General features: G+C 34.0%; 1 protein-coding gene across 1 annotated transcript in view; it reads right to left on the minus strand.

Moving 5' to 3' along the window:
- USH2A (usherin) overlaps window positions 1-23,659 on the minus strand; it is an 800,558-nt gene that overhangs the window by 400,308 nt on the left and 376,591 nt on the right. The window contains exon 32 of the mRNA NM_206933.4: window positions 23,233-23,394. Within this exon, the coding sequence (NP_996816.3) occupies window positions 23,233-23,394 (162 nt within the window). The remainder of the gene's footprint in view (window positions 1-23,232; window positions 23,395-23,659) is intronic.

Here is a 23,659-nt window from a genome sequence, read left to right on the forward strand (position 1 = left end):
GATCTATCTGTCATCTGTTTACCTACATCCACTTCAAGGTACAATCAATGGGTGCTCACTACATCAAAACTTGTGCTTTGGGACTCTATGTTTCTTAGATGGACAATGTCTTTAAAGCATGGATTTAGGAAAGGAAAGTGAAAATCAATACAGTTTGTAGGTGATAAAAGAGACAGGAGATTTGGGTCTCTTTCTCCCTTTTTTTATGTAACCCCCAAACACCTTTTCTTCTTTTCCTCTTAAAAACTGTTCAAAGCAGACAAAAAAAAAAAAAAAAAAAAAAATCAAAAAACAAAAGACACAAAAGATAGAGTGAGATATTGTTTTTGACCTTGAGGAGAGAAAAACAACAAAACCTCATTTGAGTAACAGTATACATACACACAAACCATATTTTATAAAAATTAGGAAATACTATATAATTATATACAGTAGATGGAAGATAATTTATCTGAATTTAGGACTGCTTGGCTATATTTATGCACATCGAAAGTATGCGTTAACATTACATTTAGATACAAGTCATTTAAAAACAGTACCTGGAATAGGATGGTATTATGTGTTTGTTAGCTAAAAATTAATAAAAGGGATTATGCTTTTATTTGTACGATGAATTGCATTTTCCTTTTTTTTCAGGAAACTAATTCTTTAAAGGTTGGGGTGCAGATGTATGCACATAGTGAAAAATTAAAACTAGTAGAGTACAAAATGAAAAGCAAAAGCCTCCTCACATTCCCAGCTCAGTCCTTAAAACTTTAAACACTGGGATAAGAGACTGACATAAACTGAGATTGTTATATAAGTTTCACTTATAAAGGTGGTACTAGCCATATCTGAGTTTGATTAATAACCATATAATCATTTCCTTTTTCTTCTTTGATGCACTTGCTATTGTGGAAAGCTAAGAACCATTGCAAAAGCAGGCAGGCAAACTTTAAATAATATTGGATGGCATTATGGTTTAGGGAAACAAAATGAAACAAAAACAAAACAAAAGAGGAGACAAAGAATTAGCAAGAGCTGAGCGCCAGTTTAGAGTTATTTGTGTAAACATGAGTGAATCACTGGAGCTTTAGGCCTCAGTTTTCTCATTTGTTAAAAAGAAAAACAGAATAGGAAGAGTATATTATTTATCACATCTATACCTACAATTGTTGTGAGGATAACATAAAACAAGTGGCCATACCAGCATTTTGTAAAGGAGAATGCATTATACAGGTAAGAATTAACAAGTTTAAATCATTATCAAAAATAGCAGAGGCTAACTGATCTTTTAATGTAGAAGCCATTCTCATTAATGAATGTTCATAAATACTGGGAATAATACTTTAAAATATGTATTATGTAATTATGTAAATTCCAGTATAGATTTTTTCAACTAAATCTAAAACATATAGTTAAATTTTTATAAAAGGAAACATGTATTTGACTTAGCACATTGAGGAAAAGCATTTTTGTCATTCCTTCATTTATTAATTCCATAAGTATTTGTTGGACAGCTACTTTGTGCATCTACTATGCATTTTATGTGATGAGATATAGCAGATAGCGAGATGTGTACAAGATAATTTCAGGTATCTGTTTTGAATTATACACTGTTCTGGGTTATAATTCCCAAACTTCACAGATGCCATGTTTTATCTGACATAGGTTTTATAATATACCAATGATTTTAAGCCACTTTATATTGTTTCAGTCAATTACAATATAAAACGGTGAATGATTTTAGAAGAATATTTATGCTAAAGTACAAATTATAGTCTATCTCCTATTATGGAGATTGAGCTACTTATAAGAAGAACTAATTTAGGTAAATACTAAAGTTTCACTGATTAGTAACAAATTTCAGTGAGGATAACAACATTTAAATATGTATAGATAAAAATTCAAGATAATATTAGCATTAATATTTTATTGTTGCCCTCTGATCTCAGTTTTTCAAGCTCTTTTGTTTTTTATATTACATAGTAAGTCACATATGAAAGTAAATTGTGAGAGTATTAATAAAATATAAATTCAGAGTATTGATGGGCTTCTATGCCCATCAAACAGAGAAAATAAATTAATATATACACATTTAATTTGTCTTAGACTAAATACTTTTGTTTCTAAGTTTATATTTGGTCTGTAGCCTTAGCATCACTGAAATTATCATGAACTTTTCTTAGAGCTTTCATGGTAGTAATTTTACAATATTTTTATTTTCTGAATTAGTCTCTGATAGTCTCCTTAAATTCTGTGATTAATGTTTGGTTAGTGTTAGTATTTTCGAGCTAATTTTATTTACAACATATCTTTTAAAGTCACATATTTATTTATGGTGATAGAGTGGAATACAACGGTCATTAAAACCACATAGTATGAAAATATGTAAGGCAAGCTTCAATTTTTATGAAATGTTTTTTCAGAGGAAGTTTTCAATAGATGCTGTATTTGAGAAATGTCCACTCAAAAGTTTGTTGGAGTTCAGTTTACAGTAAAGGTATGTGCCTTTATAGAAACCATTTATTTGATTTATATTTTAAAAACCATGCTTAACTTTATAGCAATGATTCAGCTGAGGGGAAATCTCTTAAAATTATCTATATAGTCTTTTCCACATCCAGAGTTCCACCCTAATGGGATTTATGATCTGCATCCTCTTGATTTTTGCATAATAGAGCTACACAAGTGGCAGAAAGTGACTTTCTAATCTCCCTACATGAAATAGATATTCAAAAATTTCATATGTGCTAGTATATTCTAGAAGTTGCTGGGCTCATGTATACAATAGGGAGGGAAAAATAGAGAGGGCAATACAAGAATATTGTCATTGCAAAATAGCCTTTTAAAGGTGTGGTATACGAGACAAACTTTCCTAAACTCTACTGGATTTGTTTTTAAACTCGAACTATTTTTCTCCTGTTCTAGGTTTGAATGAGAGTGGAAGGTATAGTAAACATGGGGATGGAATTTTCATCCAAGCAAACAGGATGCCCTTGTTTAGGTCGTGTGCCATTCGCAGTTTTCCTCTCATAGTAAAACAAGCATTTATTTCTAAAATATGCACCAACCTTGTGGTTGTAATTACATAGAATTTATTCACTTAACTACCTTGAATATTTAAAATAATTGATCAATTTTTTTACTTTAATATAATCAAAACATGTATTTGTAGCCATGGATGGCATCTCTCAGGGGTTTTGTGCAAATTTTGTGCTTATGAGCTTTGCAATAGTCATGTGGCCAAACAATACAGAGAAATAGGAAATAAACATTTTATCCAATGTATGTCAAGCATTGGTACACTTCTGTGATACAAACAGATTTAGGTTAGTCTTAGGTCAACTACTGTGTCTCTGAACATCCTTACCAGTCTGGCATTCTGATAAATTCTCCACATAATGACATCTAGTTTTCATGAAAAAATTAATTCTCCCCTTCATTCTGAAAACTATTTATTGTTCTCCTACTATACACATATGCTGATCCATGTCTTCAGGATGAAAGATGAAAGATAAAGTTCCTGCCCTCAAAGTACTCATGATCTAGTGAGAAAGACAATGAGGTTAATCAATCAATAATTCTAGCAGAGTATGCTACATGTTATGAGAGAGGGGTACACAAAGTGGAAAACTGTTAAACCACATATGTCTACAAGCACCAGGTCAATTCATAGTCAGATGGTTATATTTTCCCTGCCTCATTATCGTACTCAATAAAGATGAATGAAGAAGTGAATTAATGAAAGAACCACAGACAGGCATTCTTGAAAATATTTTGTTCTTATATTCTGTAGGCTTTATCCCCTCAAAAACTTGTGTATATAAATGTTTGCTTAATTTTTACTACCTTGGTGAGTAATAGTGCATAATCATTGCAAAGCAGACCCTCTGCTATAGGCTGAATTTTGTCCGTCCAAAATTCATAAATTGACATTCTAATCTTCAGAATGTAACCATATTTGGGGATGTGGTCTTTAAAGAGGTAATTAAGTCAAAATAAGGCCATTATGATGAGCCTTAATTCAATCGGACAGATGCCCTTATAAGAAGAGAAAATTTGGATGGGAATAAAGACACCAGGGTGTGCGTGTACAAAGAAAAGACCACGTAAGAACATTGCAAGAAGGCGGCAATTTGTAAGCCAAGGAGAGAGGCCTCAGAGGAAACCTAACCTATGGAAACCTTTGCCTTGGACTTCTAGCACCCAGAACTGTAAGACAATACATTCCTGTTGTTTAAGCCACTCAGCCTGTATTTTGTCATGGCAGCCCTAGCTAACTAATATACCTACCATTCCTGTGAGTGGATTAGAAATATACGTTATTATTTCAGGTCCGTAGTTAATTAAAACAGGGGTGTTATAAGGTCATGCAACAGTAGAATCACAAAAATTCCAGTTTATGTTTCATCACTTTTCTTTACTGACTTGGAAGAAATGGCCCCCTCTTTATCAATGCTACACTCTGCAGACCTATAATTTCCACTTTTATCTCCTCAAATTCACTAGTTCACAATATTAGACAGCTCTTATTGAAAATCAGCAGACTAGCTTTAAATTTTAAAAACTGAAGTTAACATTTGAATAAGAGACAATTTAATTGACATGTTGTCTCCAAGAATACATTGATAATGCACTAAAGATATCAATGTTGTATTAATATTTTGAAACCACTGAATATAGTTAATAGTTTAATGAAATTTCCCATCATTCTTTTACTTTAAACATCTGGTAGAAATTTACGATTTGGGAGTCAGCACATTGTGTAAGCACCAAAATTCTAGTCCTAGCGATGACATTAACTAACTTTATGATTTCAGGCATATCAAATCAGTTTTCAGAATCTCTATTTCTTCACTGAGAAAATGGGAATAAAATTTGAACCCTTATACACATCATTGGGTAATTTAAAGATTCACAGAAGTGGCCGGGTGCAGTGGCTCATGCCTGTAATCTCAGCACTTTGGGAAGCCAAGGTGGGCGGAATACTTGAGGTCAGGAGTTCGAGACCAGCCGGGCTAACACGGTGAAACCCTGTCTCTACTAAAAGTACAAAAATTAGCTGGGTGTGGTGGTGCATGCCTGTAATCGCAGCTACTCAGGAGACTAAGGCAGGAGAATGGCTTGAACCCAGGAGGCGGGGTTGCAGTGAGCCAAAATCATTCTACTACACACCAGCCTGGGCGACAGAGTGAGACCCTGTCTCAATAAATAAATGAATAAATAAATAAATAAATAAATAAAAATATTCACAGAAGCTGGAATATGTGAAAATATTTTTGAAAGTATAAATTATCAAAGAAAATCTCAGGAAATATTTATCTATTCTTGAAGTGAAGAAAATCTAAGTGTTTCTATTTAAGGAAGACACTATGCTGGAAAATATATCTAAATTTGAATTGACTACAAGTTTTAAAAATGTCTTAATTTAAAAACCACCATAAACAAAGTAAAAAAATACAAAAGACAAAGCGGAAAAAAATAACTGTCATATAGAGTGCATGCAAATGGTTAGCATCCTTCATATATATTAAAACATTTACAAAATAGGAAGAAGAATATATCATTTTAAATAATGCATAAACACATTTGTGGTATTAATTTTAAAAAACTTAAAATGCACATACACAAAATGTTACATAAAAGAATGCTGAGCAAGCAATTTGGTAATAAGCTTAGTATATTATAAAGTGGTAAAAAGTTGTAAAACAGTCTGGTCCCAATTATATGTTTGTATCTGTGCTTTAATAATAAAAAAACAGACTTTAAATGCATAAGCCAAAATATAATTAGTGATTGTGTCTGGTAGATAAAATTGTGGACAATTTGAATTTTTCTTTATATTTTTCCAAGTTTTCTTTAACATTTAAAATTTACCATTTTGTAGTAATTTTATTTTTAAATTGTACTTAATTTTGAATGAATAATGCATTAATATATATTCATGGTACGATAGCCAAAATGTACAGAAGACCTTACATAAAAATTAAGACTCTCTCCACCTTTGTGTCACTATTACCCAGTTTTCTCCTAGGAATTTAGCAATTATTGAATTTATATGTATGCCTCCAGATGTAGTCTACATACATATAACCAAACAAATAAACATTAGCAGAATATAGAATATACTTTTCTGCACAAGTGCTTTACAATATACACTTTGAAGATATTCTCCTATTGATAAAGATTTGCTTGTTCTATTGTGTCCACATATTTTGTGTACATATTAGTTATTAGCCATAACTTGTTTAACTAGTAGTCTAGTGATGTTCATTACATTTTTAATTATGTTATGTTACATATGTGTGTGTATAGCCAGAAAAATCAAAACCTTTGAAACAATCTCAAGCACAATGAAATATTTGTGATGCTATTTATTACAAATTTGGTAACTTTTATTAGTGTCATATAGCCACAAGATTTAAGCAAGGTAACTGAAACAGAAGATAAAACAGTGTACAAACCAGGATATATAGGGTCATTGCAGTTTACCACTGTATTTTCAGCAATTCTCTTAACGTCCAGAAAATAGTAGTTATTATATATATTGAATATGTACAAATGAATAAGATAGGGCACTTAAACTATCTAGACTTCAGCTACAAAACCATTACCAGGGTCATGATGCGTTGTTAATGGTATTAGGAGGGCCCTGTTATGATGTCCTAACACAGACAATAAAAATCAAAAGAAATGTTCATCACAGCACTATTCATGATAGCAAAGACATGGAATCAACCTAAATGCCCATCACTGATAGAATGGTTAAAGAAAATGTGATAGATAGATAGAGAGAGATATAGATATATCATAGATATATAATATATGATATATATGATATATATCACAGATATATAATATATGGTATATATGATATATCACAGATATATAATATATGATATATATGATATACATCACAGATATATAATATATGGTATATATGATATACATAACAGATATATAATATATATGATATATAGATATACATAACAGATATATAATATATATGATATATAGATCTACATCACACATATATTATATATGATATATAGATATACATCACAGATATATAATATATATGATATATAGATATGTATCACAGATATATAATATATAAGATATATAGATATATATCACAGATATATAATATATATGATATATAGATATACATCACAGATATATAATATATATGATATATAGATATACATCACAGATATATATATGATATATAGATATATATCACAGACATATAATATATATGATATATAGATATATATCACAGACATATAATATATATGATATATAGATATATATCACAGATATATAAATGATATATAGATATATATCACAGATATATAAATGATATATAGATATATATCACAGATATATAAATGATATATAGATATATATCACAGATATATAAATGATATATAGATATATATCACAGATATATAATATATACGATATATATATATAAATCAAAATACACTGATAATATCAAATATACTGTTAAAGACATATTCAATTTAAGATAGCTATCAAGTATTGGGGTGAGTGAAAAAGAAGTTTTCTTTCCAGTTTCATGAATGAGTCATTCCTTGACTGAAAGAAGTGACCTGACCTTTCCTAGGTATTAATTTTTTTAATCTACAATACAGAGATACTATTTAGAAAAGAATTTGTAAAATTATCAAAGGAATTTTGTCCTTTAGGGAACCAAAGGATTTATATAGACTCTCTAAAAAACAATAAAAAAAAACTGACAAAAGACATGAGGAAAGAATACTTTGAATTTAATTTCTGCCTTTTTTTTCTTCTTGTATATCCAACACAACTGGATTCCCCTAATATCCCTGATATCTGTGTACTGGGCATTTCTCTATATCATTTACAGCTTTAGAGATTTTAATCCCTCTCTTCCTTTATTTTGAGAGAAAGGACATCCTCATAATCTGAGAATTCAGGGGCTGTTAATAATGGTATTCTCCTACAGTTTACTAAATTTCCTAAATCAGATAGAAAGACAAAGACCCTAAAGCTTATCCAGATGTGCTTTTATAATGATGTCACTAGGCTTTACCCCATAATTGAGCCCCCTATAAATATATGGTTGTAGGCTTAGTATCTACAGCAAGGTTAATGGAAATCTGCACCAAGGGTAAATACTTTAGCAGATTGTGTCATCAGGAAATATTTAAACACTATTTAAAAGGATTTAAAATAAGCAGATTTTATTTTACACTGACTAATGCATATAAATACAATACAATAGAGCTGTTAACAAATAAACATAATGCGTTTCTCTCCTCTCCTCATCCTTTTGCCATCTGTATTGTTAAGTCCAATTAGCTTCTTGCATTTAGTGTTCTAACCCACTTGTCCTTATGCCTGCTAAATGGAGAAAACAGCTACACAGACTCAGTCTTCGCTATGTTGAAGCAATGATATGTTCCAACTATGTGTTTTCTAAAGCACTGATTGTCTTGTGGTATTTCTGAAAATCCTTCAATGGTTCTCTCTTGCTTCAGAACAAAGTTCAAATATCTCAACATAACTTAGCACCTTTGATAATCTCAATCCCACCTTGCTTCTCACTATTGATTACTTACCCAGGGTGCACACTCATATTAAACTCTTCCCTCTTTAATTTTTGTGAAATGCGCATTAATAGTTCTGTGTCTAGTGACTACGCAACCATGGTCCTTATGTTTGCCTGTTCCTCAGTTCTTAAACTCGACTCTAAAGCCTGTGAACATTCTTCTGTGACACTTTATCTTCCACACTGGGTTGAACCCTTCTCTTTTGTTGTCACACATGTTACAGAATTTACCACAGGTTGGACAGCATTCTATTTAGTTTTATGTATTTCTGTCTAAGCAATTGAACTGGGAATGATTTGAGGAAGAATGACAGTATCTTAGTTTTATAAATAACTTCTAACCTCTGAGGTACATAGTACCTGCTCAACAAATATTTTCTGAGTTAAATTGAACATGAAGTTTAGAGACATGCTTTTTTTTTGCATGCAGAGGATGTTTTGCATTAAGAATATTTATGATGATATAACAATAATTTCCTTATTTCTGCGACTAATAGCATGGGTTGTTGATTATTTACCATTTTTAGAAGAGTTATGGGACCTATGCTAATCTTTTTATATGCACTATCACATTTAATTTTTATACTAAATCCCTAAAGTAGGTACTGTTGTTACCATTCTACCAGGAAACCAAGGCTTAGTAAGGTCACAGGGTAAGAACCATGCTTGAGTGATTCTGCTTCTGAACCTGTGGTAGGAAGAATTCTAAGAATGACTCCCAGTGACACACACCTATATACAATTTTCCCCCTTTGAGTGTGGGTGGAATCTGTGAATTTCATGAGATATCACACTTATGATTATCTTACCTTATATGGAGAAAAGGAAATGAATCCTGGTGGGTGCAAACTAACTACGAGCAATTTAAAGCAGAGTGTTTTCTCCAGCTGGAGGCAAAAGTCAGAGAGATTTGAAGCATGAGGGGGACTGGATATCCTCCATCATTGAGATGGAGGGAGCCATGTGAAAGGACCTGAGGTGGCCCCTAGAAGCTGATAGCAGCTCATGACTGACAGGCAACATGGAAACAGGGACCTTGGCCTTACCACTGCAAGAAACTGAATTCAGCCAGCAACCTGAATGAGTCTAGAAGTGAATTATTTCCCAGAGCCTTCAGATGAGAGCCCAAACTGCCCCAACTCTTGATTTTGGCCTTGTAAAGCCCTAATTACGAACCCAATTAAATCCACCCAAATTTCTGATTTACAGAACTTTGAGTTAGTACAAGGTATTGCTTTAATACCTTCACTCCCAGGCCTGGCCCATAACAATCTGCCATGATGATCTCTCAATCTTCTTCCTCATCTGCTGTAGCAATGGAAATAACTCCAGAGCTCCCTTGGAAGTCATGTGTTAAATAAGACAGAATCTGAATCTGCATCTGCCTGCATTCCTGAATGACTGTGCAGAAAAAGGAAACTCTGTGGACCAAACTTTGTATGCACTCAATGCTAAGTGAACAAGAAATAAACTTTTATTGTGTTTTCACTATTAAAAACTATCATCTCTCTGTATGTATATGTGTGTATGCTTATAACATCTAGGTTATTCTAACAAATATAGAGAAGGTTTTATAAGATCTGAGAACTCAAGGAAGACAATGATTCAGCCATGTAAAGAACTGGGGAAAGTAAATTCCAGTCAGAGTGAACAGAAAGTTCAAAAGTCTGCATGTAGGAAAAGGCATGTGGTATTTCACAAAACAAACCAACAGAAATAGAAAACCAATGTAGTGTTGTAGAAATAAATGAGAATAAAAGAATGATATAAGGCTAAGAAAGTAGATAGGAGCCAGGTGATAAGTGTAATAGGGCAACAGCAGTTTGGATTTTAAGACTGGATGTGCAGATCTCTTGAGCTCAGGAGTTCAAGACCAGCCTGGGCAACATGGTGAAACCTCATCTCTACAAAAATTAGCCAGGTGTAGTGGCATGCACCTGTGGCCCCAGCTACTCGGGAGGCAAGAGGATCATTTGAGCCCAAGAGGTCGAGGCTGCAGTGAGCTGTGAATGCGCCACTGCACTCCATCCAGCCTGGGTGACACAGGAAGACCCTGTCTTAAAACAAGAACAGCAAAAAAGTTTGGATGTGAAGGATGAAGGAGGAGTAATCAAAGATTAATGCTGGGTTTTTGTTTGGGAAAAAGAATGAATAGTGTTACTTTTCCCAAAGATAAAAAACTCAGAAAAAAGAGCACATTGGTAGGATGTGGCAGATAAAATAAATTCAGTTTTAAGGAGTTGGAGTAAAAACACTTGTAGCAGGAGTGCCCAATATGCAGTGAGAAAAATGTTCATGGCTTAGGAAAAATATCTGAAGACAAGGACTACTGAGTTTTCAAAGGGAGATTGTGTGGAATGTTTCAAGAGGAATCCTGGGGGAAACCAACATTTGTGCGTGGAAGAAAATGAGGAAGAGATCACACCAGAGCTTGAACAGTAATAGGGAAAATTGAGAAGGTGAGGTATCACAGACACCAAGAGAAGAATGTTCTGAGATGGAGGAATCATCAATAAAACATCATGAATTATACAACCTCCACTCTGTCCCTGAATTGGAGACTACCAGAACATTGACAATCTAGGTGAGAACAGTTTCAACTGAGTGGCAAAGTAGTTGTGGAGTCAATGGAGGTGTAGTGGATTGAATTTTGTCCTCCCAAAAGGTATCTCCATGTTTTAACTCCCTGTACATGTGAATGTCACCTCATTTGAAAATAAGGTATTTGCAGATGTCATGAAGTTAAGTTGAGGTCATACTGAAAGACGGGGAGCCCTAAATTGAATATGACTGTTATCCTTAGAGGAGGAGAGAACTTTAGAAGAAGGGAAAACACTATGTAATGATACAAGCAGAGATTGGGGTGACGCAACTGCAAGCCACTGACTGCCAGGATACCACTGACTGACAGACACCTGCCAGAAACCACTGACTGTCAGAATACCACTGACTGCCAGAAACCACTGGAGGGCGGGATAGGCAAGGAAGGATTCTCCCCTACAGTTTTCAGAGAGACAATGGGCCTACTGATACCTTCATTTCAAACTTCTAGCCTCTCAAACTTCAAGAGAATACATTTCTATTGTGTTAAGGCATCCCATTTTGGGTATTGTATTAAGCAGCACTAGGAAACTAATCACTCCTATAAAGAATCAAAGAAAGCAAGCCAGGGAAGTAAGAGATGTGATTGTGAAGATGCAAAAAGTAAGGCTGGGAGCATTCCAGATGGAATTGATTATCACCTTTTCTAAATATTTTCATTACTGTCATGGGCCATATCCATCTTAAAACTGATTGTGAACACACACCTTAAATTCTCTAATATGTTTTAGGTATTTCAGGAAAGTTTTAGAATGTTATTAATCACAGCATCAAATGCACAGCACTAGAGTTACACGTTGAATTGTGTTCTCCCCAAAATTCATATGTTGAAGTCCTAGCCTCTAGAACTGCAGTTGTAATTAGCTCAGATGAGCTCAACAAGGTGGGCCCAAATCCAATATGACTAGTGTCCTTATAAAAAGGAGAAATTTGTACACAGATAAGCACACAGGGAAAACATTATGTGAAGATGATGGCAGAGATTGGGATGATTCATATACAATCAAGAAATGCCAAATATCGCCAGCAAACAACCAAAACAAGGAGAGAGGGATGAAACAGATTCCTCCTCATAGCCTTCAGAAGAAACCAGTCTTGCCAATATCTTGATCTGGGACTCCCTGTCTCTAGAAGTGTGAGACAGTCAATTTCTGTTGTTTAAGCCATCTAGTTTGTGTTACTTTGTTACAATAGTCTTAGCAAGCTAAAACACATAATTGAGCAACAAATATTTGTATATATTTGCTATATATTGGATGATTAAATGAAAAATCCTAAGCTACAGGAAAGCCTACCTCAATAAAATTGTTTACCAAGTTTAGCATGTTAATTATATCCAAATTATGCATTGGTATTTATTGTTATTTTCTCTAAAATATTAATTTACTGAGTCTCAGTGTTTTTTCAACTTAATTCATTTAAACTCAATTCAGTGAGTTTGTTGGATGCCAGTTGGGTCCTTATTCCTATGTGAGATATTACAGAAATTTTGAAAATAAATAATGGCATAATAACTGTAACCAATGCACTTACATTCTTATTTTTAATCAAGATTTACTCCTTTGAAAATAAGTCAATATTGCAAGATAGAATGTGTCCAAATGACAAATGTGTAGGAATTTGATATGGAAGAGTCTATGAGTCAAATGAAGATGTGGGAATTGAGGTAGATCATCAAATATACATAACGTTTTGATGGTGGTAGATAGTGCTAGAGGTCATCTATGGTATTGGCTAGAAGGAAATTAGTAAGACGATCAACCTGATTAAATATAAGGTGAAGACTAGGGAAAACTAGAGATAAGTATTAATGGTTAAGTGTAGTCAGGTTCCCGAAATTTCTTTCCTTTCTATCAATTTTATCACATATATTAAAATTGGGAATAACATTACAAAAAGAATCTGACTTCTAATATCCAAACTGTAGAGAATTTAAAAGATTGAACGACTCTCAAGGAAAAGAAAAAAAAGCAATACCAGACTCCCATTATTAAGAGATAATCACTATTAGTATTTTGGTATATGTCCATATGGGGACATACCTATATATGTATATGTACACATCCATGTATATGTATCTATGTATATACACATATATTTTAACGAATTAGACTCAAATATGTGTAAAATATTTGTTGTTATTATCTTTCCAAATTAAATATTTTTCTACAGCATCATAAACTTTATGGTCACACAACATTACATTGTTGGAAACTCAGAATGGTTTATATGGTTTGTTTGTTGCTAGTGTACACGGGTCAGTGACTTCATGTGCTAAATTCTAATTGCACAGATGAAGCATTTCTATAATTATTTTCTAGATCTGAACTTGGAGAAAGAGGTAGATGTTTCAGTTTGCAAATTTTCCAATGGCTTTCTGGAAGACAGGAATTTAACAACTAACAACATCTTAGCAATTGCCTGTAGATCAGAGGGTTCTGAATGTAGGTACAGGAACACAAAAAATTGTTGTACTGATTTACTCTCCCTCCTATATCTCTAAGAAAAAGACAGTGACAAAAGAGAACATATAAGGGAACTACAAAAATTTCATGGAAAATGGAATTAAAAAATAAAAATATAACCTTTGTTTCTCAACATAAGCTCAATCAAGGTCAAGACATTTTTGTAAGTGATGATACCAGCCACTTAGTCCATCTCTGAATAACTGACTGTTCTGGGAATTTAACCATGTCAATGCAGTCTTTTTTACATTATTAACTGAAGAAAAATGGGTGCTCCTTAAAGATTTTTTTAAGATTAGGAAACGAAAAGAAGTCAGAAGGAACCAAATCAGAACTGTAAGATCCTAATGATTTTCCGTGAAAACTGTCATACAATTTCTCATGTTCAATGAGAGGAATGAGCAGGGGCATCATCATGGTGAAGAAGGACTCTAGTGAAGCTGTCCTGGGCATTTTAATGCTAAAGCTTTGGCTAACATTCTCAAAACACTGTCATCATTAGCAGATGTTATTGTTTTTTGGTCCTCCAGAAAACCAACAAGCAAAATGCCTCAAGCATCCCCAAAAAACTTTTGCCATGACCTTTGCTCTTGACTGGTCCACTTTTGCTTTGAGTGAACCACTTCCACCTCTTAGTAGCCATTGCTTTGATTGTTCTTTGTTTTCAGGATTGTACTGGTAAAGCCATATTTCAACTCCTATTACAATTATTTGATAAAATGTTTCAGGATATTGATTCCACCTGTTTAAAATTTCCATTGAAAGCTCTGCTCTTGTCTGTAGCTGATCTGGGTGCAACAGTTTTGGCACCCACTAAGTAGAAAGTTCACTCAACTTTTTTTTAACTTTTATTTTAAGTTTAGGGGTACAAGGGCAGGCTTGTTACATAGGTAACCTTGTGTCATGGGGGTTTGGTGTACAGATTATTTCATCACCCAGGTATTAAGTCTAGTACCCATTAGTTTTTTTTTTTTCCTAATCCTCTCCCTCCTGCTACCCTCCACCTCTGAAAAGCCCCAGTATGTGTAGTTCCCCTCTATGTGTCCATGAGTCTCATCATTTAGCTCTCACTTATAAGTGAGAACATGTGGTATTTGGTTTTCCGTTCCTATGTTAGCTTGCTAAGTTTAATGTCCTCAACTTTAATTTTTCAGTCAGAATTGTACAAAGTGAACCAATTGAGATGTGTATGATGTTGGTTGTTAATTGTTTGTCTTCCTCAATTAGGAAACAGACAAAATGAATATTTTCCCTTCTAAATTGATGTGGATGGTCTGCCACTGCAGGCTTCATCTTTAATACTGTCTTGTTCCTTGTCCTTTAAGGAAAATGAGTTATCCACTTGTAAACTGCCGATCTCTTTGGGGCATTGTCCTCAAAAACTTTTTGTAAAACATCAATGATTTCACTATTCTTCTATGCAAGCTTCACCAGAAATTTGATATTTGTCCTTGCTTCAATTTTACTGAATTCATGTTGCCCTGGTAGGGGCTTGTTTCAGACTGATGTCTTAACTTTCTTACCACCTCAAACTAGATCTGGTTCAGGAATGTTATAACAAGTTAGTATGAGTTTATTTTGGTGGAAAAAATTGAAATCCTCACATTTTTCATAATATGCATTTTCCATAAGCTTTTTGAAGACCCCCCCTCCACTTTCTTATTCTATTTATATTGAGTACAAAATTAGCAAAATCAGTTTATGGTGTCAACACTCAGGAAAGCAATCACCTGAGTCAAGATTTGAGGCCACAAAATGAGGAGCTTTACAGGGTGCTGACAATGTTCTGTTTCTTGTTTTGGGTACAGATTCCATAGATGTGTTTCCTTTGTAAATATCCATCAAGCTGTACCCTTAAGATGTGTCCACTTTTCTGTATTAATTTATAACTCAATTTAAGCACTTTAAAACGTACATAAAAAATCATAGCAACTCTCAAAATGCTGAAAATAACAGGACACCTCTATTTGTAACACTTTCAACTGAAGGACATATTCCGTTATCTTTCCAGCATTTAACTCCATTGCTTTTCTAACTGAATATTATTCCCATGATTCTTCTAAAATCCCTTTAAGCATAGAATCTTTCCCTATCATTTACGAACATAATATTCCTTAATTAGGTTAACAGATCATATAATATTTGGGTACGGGTCTTAAAATGTAAATTTAAACATATTTTATTTCTTCACATACGGGTGCATTATAGAAGCACCTTAATGGAAGAACGACACTTAGGTTGTATTGTTTACAGCTAACCACAACTGATATTCAAACATTCTGTACAAGTTATTTCATTTCATTTGACCCTTTGTTGCTCGATGAATAAGACTCTTGAGAGTATAGCATCCACTGTTCATTAACCCAAAGATCTGGTATATAGAACAACCTTGAACAACTATTCTGGAGTCTCTGGTCACAGAGTTAGTAGCTTAGTAATTTGGCTTTGAAGGCTCTACTTATTGCATAGCTTGACTTTTGTTCCTTCGTGTCCTTAAAGTTTCTCAGACTTTGTACAATTTAATACTATATGACTGAGACATCAAAGGGAAACATGGTATGACCTCGTTTGTAATAGAGTGGCATGGTGACTCATGGATGAGACCGTCATCTTACCTGGAAATCCTCACATGCTCTGCTTTATTAATATTAGAGCTTGTAACAGAACACAGGCGTGTTAACAGCATTCCTTTAGGTAATAGTATTTTTATGTAAGAGGAGTTATTTCAATGTACTGCAATGTGATATTTAAATATGCAAAATAAAGAAAATATCTAGGTTAAAGTAAAATTCTATTTTGCTAAGAAAAGAGCTTCTGTAAGCCATTGGTGTGAATGAGTATAATTTAGCTCAAATTTGTAGAGTGCTGATAAGGTTCCTTATAACGCTCGGATAGAAGTGCCTAACCTTTAAATGTGTTTTTATTGTGCCATAAGCAATACAGCTTCTTCGTCAATAAATTTCCCATCGTAAGACTTAAGTGTTTGGAAAGTTTAAGATGAGCATTTCTATTTTGCTATTTACACATAGTTCTCTTTGACCTTGGCAAATAAGACCAAAAAAAAAGTTTTAGCACTTTTAGTTGGTTAGACATAAATAATTATTGCCTATATGATTTTACCAGAATTCATCCACTTTTCCTCCCTCTTTCCCCCTGCCCACATCTGCCTTTCTACCCTCTCTTTATTTTTCTGTCTCTCAATTACACACACACACACACACACACACACACACACACACGCATGCACACACTCATTACATTGCTATTATCTATATCTTACTGCCTCAGTCTTAGTGATAGAAATCCAGGTCCTGATGGAACAGCAGTGGGAAGACACTATCTATGGTTCTAGATATCAGTCACTCTTATTTAACTATAAGATGACTATGTAGATTTATCAGATGATACATTTGAAAACACACGTGTTATGGCTTGGTGTGAGATAGTTGTTATTTTTCTATAATGTCCCTATTAACCTTTCCTCTTTTGGAGTTCTAGTCATTATCCACAGCAATGGCTTAGGTTGGCTTAACCAAAAGCAATTCAGGTAGTATTTTCTAACTAGGAAGCACAACTCGCATAAACCTCCTTGCCGGGTTTGGTGGAGACTTGTCCTGATTAGCACCATCTTGCTATTTTTGTTTCTAAAAAGTTTGTAGGCTTTTTGGAAACATCTTATAAACTTCTTAAAAACGGCCAGTTTCTGGTAGGGTGCTCGTTTAAAATAAGAATAATCTGTGGCTACAGTCTGGATAGTCATCATCGATCAGGTGCTGTCCAGCCTGAACTTTGAAACAATCCTGGTATGTTGAACAGTCTCATGAAGGATTTCTTTTGTCTACTTGTTTGGGAATGTACTGTATACACACATCTTAAGTGGCCCACAATAGCTCTGCTAGTGATATCAATATAGGTCCTTCAATCTTTCGATTATGTTTTTAATCATAAGCTTTAAAGTACAATTGTTTTTACCTCAAAATTCTTAAAAATCTGTTATGGGACAGAAATAAGAGATTAATGGAGATCTTGGAAAAAAAGATAAATGGCACCACCAGAATACCACAAAACTGGGAGAAAAATTAATTGAACCTATACTTTTGATAAATATTTATTTTTTGCAGAAGGAAAATGCATACTAGTTTAAGCTGTCATTATACTAACCTACATCCTATTTTTCATATTATTAGTAATACATAATGTGGTAGTTTATATTCAAAAATAAAACTAGAATGTATATACCTCACGTATTTATCCAGAATACACCAAGGTTACTATGGTTACGAAAAATCCATTACCTTTGAATACAGAATGAAAAAGTTTGACTTAAAGTGTGTGCTATTTATTATAGCAAACATCAACAGCCTTCGGGAGGTTCTCTAACTGGATTCATTTTTCAGTGTCAGAACTGACCCACCATACTACTAGCTTATGGCCTATGCAAGGTAAAAAATTTGAACTGTATGCATTTTAAAATAAATTTTGTACTAACTCAAGGTGCAGCAATGCCTTTGACTTTTAATGCTTCATATTTAAGAAAAAGAAGAAAAAAAAATCCAAGCCACCTGGATGCTAAGTGGCTTCTGAATTGAAATGCATTTACTTTGCTTGTGCCCCCCATGGCAGCAAGATCCACTGGCAAACCCTACGGGAAGAATGTCGATTCTATATGGAAACCTAAAGGGAAACTACAAGTAAATGAAGTAGGAGTGAGAAAAAAATTGTTGACACTTTGAATATTTAGGAGGGGACATTAAACCAAGTTAGTAGGGAAGTTTCTGATATTGTAGAGGGTAAAACATTTTAAACAGTGTGGGTGATTGTAACCAGAAAAAACAGGATAGCTCGTGGAGAAGTCTCAAAATTATTCCTTACCCCAATTAAATTTTTGCTCATCAAGAATGTGATTAGATGAATGAAAGGAAAATATAAAAGGTTAATAATTATTCAGAAAAGTATTCACTATAACTAGTACTTTAAAATGCAAATTAAAATAAAATAACTTTTTTTTTTGTAAAATAATCAAATATTTAAGAATATAAAATTCACTGCTGACAACTTTCCTGGAATAATGTGACAAACTATACCAAACATTCTGCAAATGTTCATTACCTTTGATTTAGCTATTCTTCTAGGAACCTAGCAAATAAAGATTTATGTATAAGAATATCTATGTCAAGATATTTAAAATAGAGATAGATTAGATACTATTGCTCAAATGGTTAAATGCATTAATAAATATCCATTATATGCTATATGAGATGGAATATAATGTTATTCAAAACATTTCAAAATATTTTTACAAAAATGTTTAATGATAGGATATAGTCATAATATAATAAGGGAATATGTATTCAATATCATACATAGGTTATAGCTCAATTTTGTTAACATGAATAAAGTAGTAGAAGGAATTCCATCAAATATTATGAGTTTCAATATGACAGGATTCTCAGGTATTACTTGTCTGCATGTTTTAAATTATCTTCTGTAAGAATTTATCACTTTTATAATTAAAGATATTATCAATTATTTTCCCTATCTAGTAAACTCTGTATTCCACTTCTCGGTTTCTCTATGAAGAGATATTTCAGCTCTATACAGATCCACTTTAGTAGACCTAAACTGACACTATTATTGAAATCACCAGACATCATGAATAGAAGTTCTACCCACAAGCCACTCAGTGTGGAAAAGATACTATGTCACAAATACCCTGACACAAAGACAAGCAGTAAGTACCAATAGCATTGTAGATAGATACATGTTATGGTGTAGACTTAAACTGCCCATAGAAGCTAAAGCCCATCCCAATGGCTAGATCAGTTTCTCCACAGCCTTCTCCCTTGCTGACTTCAGACAGACAGAGTCCCTTTCCTATTTAGTCTTCTCTGAGAGTCTCTGTAGATAGCTAAACTTTAAAAATATAAATGACCTGAACTTAGTCCATATCACTGATATAAAATCTGTGGTCGTAAGAGTGGGAACCTCATCCAATAGGACTGGCATCCTCAGAGGAAGAGGAAAAAATACCAAGGATGAAGTCACCTGAAAGAAAGTCCATGTGCACCTACAGTGAGGAGGCCACTATCTGCAAGCCACGGAAAGAGACTCAGGACAAATCAAGCTTGCCAACATCTTGGTCTCGGACTTTCAGCCTCCAGACTGTGAGAAATACTTTTCTATTAAAGTCACCCAGTTTTGTTATTTTGACATGGCAGCCCTAGCAGACTAATACAGGTGTTCTGGGGTCTTTCTTTTAGAGTTCTGGCAAGGGAAAATAAAATATGAGCAACAAGCAGAATGTATAGAAATTAAAAGCAGAGGATTTGGGGCCAGACAGATCTACATTTGAATTAGTTCCTCTGATTACTGACTAGAGTTTCTTAACCCATCTAGGTCTCAGTTTTTCTAGCTATAAAGTTAGAATAATCATGTGCATCTTTGAACCCCATATTAACTTTCTCAGTTTATTTCCCCTCCTTGACCAGCATTGCAGTCCCAATATGCTTCATATCTTAAACTATTTGGAGATGAAAGCAACAAGGAACATAGTTGCTTATGAAATGCCAAGAAAGCTACAGCAGAAAAAAAAATGCTATGGGTAGTATTGGAGATATATTCTTTAAAATATTACATAAAGATAGAAAACCATTGAAGAATCAATCTATTACCATGGATGTAGGCACTTTAAAAATATTTCACTTTCTTTATATTTGGGGCTTCTATTGTAATAATACACTATGGTGCCATTTACCACAATCTTTCTTCAGGGCCTATAGTCACATGGCGTTCTTGATAATTCAAACAAACAAAATACAGAATTCAGTGTCATTTTGCAGGTGGTATTAGAAATTGATGTGAATTCTTCCTCCTCTCCCTACACTGCCCTTTTTCCGGTTTTGTCCAGTGTAACCTCATATGGAGTTCTGTACATTTTGGAAAGAGTCAAGGCCCACAGTTTGAGACCTGCCATTAGCTGCACCACTTCCCTGTGGACTGATGCAGCTTTCGTTTAGGCGCATGGAAGGGGTCTTAGTTTCTCTTCCCCTGGCTGTATCTTTTCCATTTTTCTCTCTTCTCTATTGCCTTATTCCTACCCTAATCCTATCCTCCATCAGTTCCCCTTTGCTATCTTCTTGTTTTTATTCCCAGGAATCATCTGACTTCATTCTTTCACTCTAACACTTTTTATTCCATTCCCACTCTGTGATAGGTCCAAGAGATGCAGTAATGAAAAAAACAAATATAGTTGTGTCCTTAATGATCATTATGGTTCAGCAGGGCAAACCGATGAACAAACAAACAGTCCTATTCAAGATGACACAAACAAAAAGCAGCGATGTAATATAAAGGTAATCAGTAAGCATACGGGGCATACCTGTGTCACACGTGGGGAGCAAAAGGATTCTCAGAGGACATGTCTATTCTGGTTCTAAAAGTTATGATATCCCATTACATGCAATGTTACCTCTTGGTCACAGAAGTGCTTTGTATGTTAATTATTAATATGTTACATCAAAGATGTAATATATGTAAAAATGTAATATATGTAAAGGTTCAAAGATGTAATATATGTAAAGTTCCTTCCATGGTGTGATTTAATTTTTTCTGAAATAACTTCTGTGGTTTATAATTTTTAGTTAAAATCATGCCATAAGATACTGTTGGAGTAAGATTAACCTATTCAGTTTTTACAATGAACTCTGTGTTGTACAGGAGATAACAATTATAACTTCTCTTTACCAATTGCTAATGACATGTTATATTTTATATATAGTTCTAATTCTCTTTAAAATACTGGAAAATGTAATTAACACCATTTTACAAATTCAGAAACTAAGACAAGTTAAAACACTTGTTTTTAAGACCACATTCTTCAACACAGCCGGAATGCTTGGGTTAGTACCAAAGCCTCCGACTCAAGCTGTGTGACCTTGGGTTACTTAATCCTTCTTTCCCTCAGTTTCTTCACTTGTAAAATTGGGGTGTAAAATAATACCTATGTTGTAGAATAAATATTATGGAATTCTATCCAATTATGAATAATAAAATATAAAAGTAATTGTTCTTGTCCTTTTAAGGTTCTCAGACTAGAGGGGGGCCAAAAAAATGTAAACCTGAGAATGCAACTGGATGAATACACAGCCCTGTCCACACGACTTGCTCCAGCATCTACATGTGCCCCCATGAAGCTGTGAGCACCAAGAGAAGAGGGACAGTATCTGGCCAGTTCCCTATTACAACCTTAGTACCTGGCATTAATGTGAGTGAGTGAATACATAAATAATTCATCCTACCTCTGACTCTAACTTGTTATGACCTTTATGAAGAAGTTAATATCTCTAGGCCTTGGTTTTTTCATCAGTCAACATTTGATTAATAATGTCTCACATGAGAGTCACATACAGTATATAAAATAATATGAAATACAAAACCACTATAAGTATAATACAAATATAAACACAGTACAGGCAGCATACATAATGCAAGTCTTCTGTATTTAGAAAGTTTTTCAAGAATTTACTTCATTTAATTTCAGTATCATCACACTTTATAATATGATATGGGCAGATATACTATGTTTCCTCTAAGATCTAAAATTCAAACCACACTGAGTCACACTTCTGAGTCTTAAGACTATTACACATTAGTGAGGATTTTAAAGTATTCGTGTGGTACAGAAGTAATTACTGTCAATGGCAAAAACCACAACTACTTTTGCACCACTCTAATAGCTCATGTGAGAGAGGCATTTATTTGATGATGTCATTGATCCAACTGGACACTGTGAGCCTGACTGGGAAAACACTGGCTCCCAATTTCAATCCTTGTGGTCTGCTGAAGTCAGAGAAGTCATGTGCTGAGCTCTTTGTGCTTAGCACATTTGTGCATTTCCAGGCCTCCTCTGCATCTGAGCAAAGGTAATTGCTAGAAGGATTTAGGTAAGGGGTGGTGGGCTCTATAGAAGAGAACACACAGTAGGACAGCCCTGGGTGGAGGGAGGTAACATGAGCACTTTTCCATATTTTTTTAGCTTCAGTTTCACCATGAATCTAATATGACCTTCAAGATCATACAATTGGAGTGATTAACAGGAGATAAAAATAAGCAACCCAATTTCAAAAACACATTTTCAGATAACTATAGACTCTATTTATCTGGTGTGTGTGTGTGTGTGTGTGTGTGTGTGTGTGTGTGTGTGTGTGCAGTCACTCCTCAATATCAGTGAGAGATTGGTTCCAGGACCCTCTACTGATACCAAAATTCATGGATGCTCAAGTCCCTGTTACAATGTGGTGTATTATTTGCATATAGGCTATCCACATCCTCCTGTATGCTTTAAATCATCTCTAGATTCCTTAGAATACCTAATACAATGTAAATGCTATGTAAATAGTTGTTATACTATGTTTTTAGAATTTATATTATTTTTAATTGTTCTGTTGTTATTTTTTTCACATATTTCCTAAGCATTCTTGATTAAATTTGCAGATATGGAACCCCTGGATATCGAGAGCCAACTATATGTATGTTTATATTTGAATATAGACTATAACAATTCGCTGATAACTCTAGAGGTCTTACCTGTGACTATGTAGTTCTCCTCACTGCCTGAATAGATCAGCCTCCCATCCATGTATAAACAGTACTGAGTTATAATACCATTTGCCTTTTTGGGTGGGTTCCAGGAGAGCAGCAAAGAACTGGGAAGGGATTTGGCTACTGGTGGCTGAACCTCTTGTGGGGCTGTGGAAGAAAAGATTTATAGAGTCTAATTTTAGTTTACTTTTCTAATTCAAACTTTTCAGACCCAAACCAATAAATCATGGAATAAACCTGAAATCCCATGCATGGAAATATTCCCGATTCGTGGGCAGCTTGTCAGTAATTGCTTTAGGAACAGTGTTAAATAACTGTCCCACATTTATGAGAATTTGTGTCAATGATGGATGAGGAGTACTTACACTAGTTCACTTGACTGATGCTTGTGTTACTCCACCAAAAGTACTAT

This window comes from Homo sapiens, chromosome 1, assembly GCF_000001405.40.
Source record: "Homo sapiens chromosome 1, GRCh38.p14 Primary Assembly".
NCBI lineage: Eukaryota > Metazoa > Chordata > Mammalia > Primates > Hominidae > Homo > Homo sapiens.